Source organism: Homo sapiens, chromosome 9, assembly GCF_000001405.40.
Source record: "Homo sapiens chromosome 9, GRCh38.p14 Primary Assembly".
In the NCBI taxonomy this organism is placed as follows: Eukaryota; Metazoa; Chordata; class Mammalia; order Primates; family Hominidae; genus Homo; species Homo sapiens.
In genome coordinates this window covers 117547265-117552330 of record NC_000009.12, presented here as the reverse complement: position 1 = coordinate 117552330, position 5066 = coordinate 117547265, and the positions used below count along the sequence as shown (strand labels likewise).

Genomic DNA, 5066 nt, shown 5'->3' with positions numbered 1-5066 from the left:
TCACAATGTTGTGCAATAATCACCAGTATCTAATTGCAGAAAATTCTCATCACCCGAAAGACAAATCTCGTATCTATTAAACGGTTACTCCCCATTCCTGACTTCCCCCAGCTCCTGACAACCACTGATCTTGCTACCTCTATAGATTTACCTATTCTGGACATTTTACATAAATTGAATCATCATATACGACCTTTTATGACTGGCTTCTTTCACTTACCACAGTGTTTTCAAAGTTCATCCATGTTATGGGATGTATCAGTACTTTACTGTTTTTCATAGCTGAATATTATTTTATTGTAGGACTACGACATATTTTATTTATCCATTCATCAGTTGATGAACGCTTGGTTTCTACTTTTTTCTAAGTGTGTGTACAAGATTTTGTTTGAACAAATGTTTTCAGTTATCTTGGGTTTTTAGGGTTTTAATTGAAAAAATGTTCCAGAATCCTTCCCTTTACCCATCACCCCCAAAGATGCTTCCTACCACTGACACCAGGAAATGGTGTAATTACTGCTATGTAAACGGGGATATGAATACCCAGGGAGTTTGTGGTAATGTGCCTCCACATCCCACATAAAGTCAAAGGAGAAATATGGCACAACTTTTTGAATTAAACTGTTTAAAGATTGGAAGAAGAGGAAAATGATGTTTTTATATTAAATCTAGACAATATCCAATATTTTATTGATCCTCAGACATTCATGTTTTAACATCTTTGAACTTAGAATACATTTTACAATCAATGCTGTGCCCCAGTTTAACTTGCAGCCTTTTATTTTGTTTCTAGTGATAAATAAAATAATGATGTGTCTTGCAATAATGCATTTTAGATGTTGTGGCTTGTGGTATTATGGAGTACAATCTACAATTCACATAAAATTTTAGGATAAAAATGGGAGACTTTGCAGCTGTTCAGGCCTAGCTGTGGTTTCTGCAGGGTTTCTTGACCACTCTTGTCCCCTGGGGCTGTGGTATACGGTAGGACAGGCTGTGCTCAGCACACTAGCGTGCCTCAAGGCCTCATGTGCCCATTCCAGGATGTTCCTACCATCACTACAGGCCCCCTGTAATACTCATATCCCCTGCAATACTTTACTCCCATGTTGGATAATCATCCCCTTCCTTATAGCCCCTCAGTGTAGATGAGACAGACTCACATTTTCAAGGAGAATTTTATTTTAAAAGCCAAGGGAAAAGTAAAAGGGGGAGAAAAGGAAATATAAACAGTATAGAAATTGTCACATTTTCATTTATTGTGTTTCTAATATTTCCATCCTATAAAAGTAAAAAGGAATTTTAGTGAGACCTCAGTTTCAGGAGAAGTTAACTGATGGCCATTAGGAAGCCTTGGCTCACGTTCCAACCTAGTCCTGGGTCAGCTGTACCCACCATTTACCTTCTCCTCACCTTGAAGTGAGTCTTGGTTTTATGATTTTTTTGGATTCCTCTATTGCTGACTTCCTACAGCTTGGCTCTTTCAAAAAAGTTCTGGCCCATGTAAAATGTCATGTCTTTTGTCCGTAAAAATGGTTGGGGAATCACTTGACTAGCTATGAGATTAAAATCTCTTCCCAAATTTATAAAGAAAAAGATAAAACACAAGCTCTATGGTTTTCAGATCAAGAAAATTAGCTCTTCATTTTCGAAGTATTGTATTAACTGAGAAGGGGTTGGATTGGGGGAGAATGGTGTGTTAGCAGAGCATGGCTGAAGGATAATCATCTTCACTACAACCATTCATATTTCTCTTTTGTTTTTCTCCAGAACAGCCTCTTTAAAAAATTTAAAAGTAATGAACAAATTTTTACAAATCTAATCAGAACAGCAGCAACAATAAAAAACGTAGAATCTATACCAGGGCATTCGATGACTCAACGACCGGCTGAGTGCCTCTGAAATAGGGCTGGGGATCCATGGTGGCTAAAATCCCCATTAAATGCTTGTTCGTCTTTGGAGTTAAATTTAAGAGTATGAGAGCTTTTCTTTGAGAACTGATTATTTTTTATATCTGAGAGTCATCCTCCCTCAATCCGTTTTGCCTTGTGGGAGAAGCACATTTAGCAGGAGGAAGGGAGCATTGAATCACTACATTCATTCTGGATAGTAGCTAAAAGAAGGCTAAAGACAGGTTGAGGCATGTTTCAAAAAATTCTATTAAAATTGCAAGTGAAATCAAAACCATGTCTATGGGAAACTTTAAAGGAAATGGGATTATATAACCCAGAGAAAAGAATACTTAGGATGTGGGTGGTAGGGGTAGAAAGGAAGCCATCTGCAAATACATAAGACGTATTATGTGAAAGCAAGATTAGGCTCATTCTGTGACATGAAGGAGACAGCTATTGGTACAATATGAAGCAGATTGTCTACAACTTTCTAATAGTTAAATTGGCCCAAGATATTACGGTATACATTGGGAAGATCTCAGTTCTTCAAGAAAGGAGGTGTTCAAATGAAAGCTGCTCACTATCAATCACAGCTTCCTAATTGAATTTTAACAGTCAGTTAAGAGTAGAATTTCATGACCTTTAACAGCCCTTTAAGCCTGACGTTCTAATGACTCCTAATCCATGACAAGGAAACTGAGATTCTCAGCTGTCCGACATGTGAGGAAAAACAAAGGCTCTGACAGCATTCATGGCCCTCTGATTCAAGTTGAAAAGCAACCCAACACAGCAAGATCTTCAAGGACAACAACAACAATGCTCAGCCTGCCTCTCTCTGGAAATTCCTTAGTCACACAAATTAGGGATCACAGGTCGCCCCTTTCCAGCAGTTTTACCTCTGGCTCCTGACTCCTAGGCCTCTCTGCAGGTTGCAGCCAGTCTATTGACAACTCTGCACTGTTCTCAGCACAACATTTGTGGGGGAAATTGTTGGCCAAGGCACCAGTAGTGTTCAGACCAGCTGAGCTCGTTCGTGGTGCTGCAGTTCAGGCAATAATGTTCTCTTTCAAGACAGATGACACTCTTGCCAGCAATTGCTTGGATGGAGTGTTCATTCAAACACCCTGGGCTCATTACCAGCTCAGAGCACAGAAATTGTGCAGGTAATTTCTACCCACCGTCCAATCTGTTGCTTGCCCACCCTCACGCCATGTCCCGTTCTGTCCTTCCCAAGATAGATGTGGTATTATACACACCACTTTACAATCCCTAACACAGCAGGTGCAGTCAGAGACTTCCAACACCATATTAATAAGAGTCCTAATGAAGAACCAAAATAACTTACCTGTCACAGAAGTTTGTCACCTCCTAGGAAAATTAAAGTGGCAAGTCACCCCACATGTTGTCTATTTTTCCATTGTCTCCACTTCTTTCTTTCTGCCTGCCCCCGAAGCCTCTCTTCCTTATGTGTGTTAGTTCTTGCAGAGTGCTTTCAGCACACCTGCAATTGTTTGCTAAATCACCCATCACTGAACTGGGAAACAGAAGAGCTGGGCAGGAGTTCCAGCATCCCCTCTGCTCCTCCATCTAGCAGGAACCTGTCATTGTAAGAATCTACCCCAGGCTAAGCTTAAATGATGCTGTTGCAATGATAGCAGATGTTAGCTTTACCCAAAATGACCCTGCTCCTGTGGTGCTGGCTACTGCAGATTCAGAAATGAAGGCCAAGCTCTCTGCGCTAACAAAGCTCATAGTCTAGTATAGGAGTCAGCAAACTTTTTCTAAAAAGAGACAGTTAACAAATAGTTTAGGCTTTACAGGCCACGGAGTCTCCTATCCAACTATTCAATTCTACTGCTACAGCTCAAGAGAAGTCATAAACAATATATAAACAAGTGATTGTGGCATGTTCCAATAAAACTTTATTTATGAAAAAGGCAGTGGGCTAGATTTGACCCTCTGGATGTCATCTGCAAGGCCCTGATCTAGTGGAAGAGACAAACAAGTGCTCCAATGGTTGCAGTGTTCAACCGTGAGTGATAAAATAAGAAGGAAGCAGCAGAAGGTGGTTAGGGAAGGCCTTCTGGAAGAGGTGAGGTTTGAGTCATGACTTGAGGGATGAATAACTGCTTAATAACATACCTGCCTAATCTTCCTCTTCCACCACCATCTTCCCTCGTAGACCGATTATTTGTGATTAGAATCTGTTAGACTTTGGGATTCCTGTGAGCTGTCACAGCATCTTAGCTGCCTTTATAATCCCAAACTCAAATTTAGTGCTTTTACATAATCAGGGATTGATGAATGTTTACTGGATTAAAGGGCATGTGACCTTTCACCTCTGTTTTGACCACAGCTAACTCTCTCTGTTTCCTGGAAGATGATATTCCTGCTTCACCCTGTGCTATGCTACAGCTGGGTAGAGACTTGTAACAATACAAAAGAGTTCTTAGTGCCTGTTTGTTATTATTTCATGTTCTGGAGCCAGACTGACTTTGGACTCGTGCTCTGCCATTTACTAGTTGTGTGATCTTGGACAAGTCAGTTAACCTTTCTATGCCTTAGTTTCCCCTTTTGTTAAAATAATGATAGTACTTACCTTATAGGATTGTTGCAAAGATTAAATGAGTTAAATGAATAAAGTATTTAGAATGATAACTGGCACAGAGCAACTGTTCATTAAATGCTGGCTATTATTAACATTAAAAAGCTATACCTAGTCTCTTCATAATAATCTTGCACCTCTGTGGTAGGAAGGGGACAGAGGAGCTGCTAACATTCATTTGGAAATTCTAACCAACTTCCTAGGTTCAGCCTTATTTGTTTGTTGTTTTAATCTCTCTGCCCTCGGCTGCTGCACAAGGAGAGAAGTTGATTGGCAGCTTAACTGTTTAAAATCAATATAAGAAGCACTTGGAGATTAAAGCAATTTAAGCAAGGCACTGGCTGGGGTTGGGAGCTAAAACTGCTCTTGAAGGAAACAAACGAAGGAGGTGAAGAAAGTGGGTCAGAAATGAAACAGCGCGAAACTGTGTGAGTGGAGGTGAGATTACAATAGAGCAGCACGACTTTTTCATCAGAGAAAGATCGTTTCTTTTTATTAAAAAAAACGTAAAATAAAGCAGAGCCAAAAGCCCTAATCTCAAAATTGCTCCAGCCTGGGAGTGATTGTTC

General features: G+C 40.1%; 1 annotated feature.

Annotated features, from left to right (window-relative positions):
- Window positions 2314-2923: an enhancer, noted in NCBI's record as "OCT4-NANOG hESC enhancer chr9:120311686-120312295 (GRCh37/hg19 assembly coordinates)". NCBI's record gives its function as "activates a minimal SCP1, AML or CMV promoter by ChIP-STARR-seq in naive and primed H9 embryonic stem cells {active_cell/tissue: H9 hESC(naive and primed)}" and the evidence as "EXISTENCE:reporter gene assay evidence [ECO:0000049][PMID:30033119]".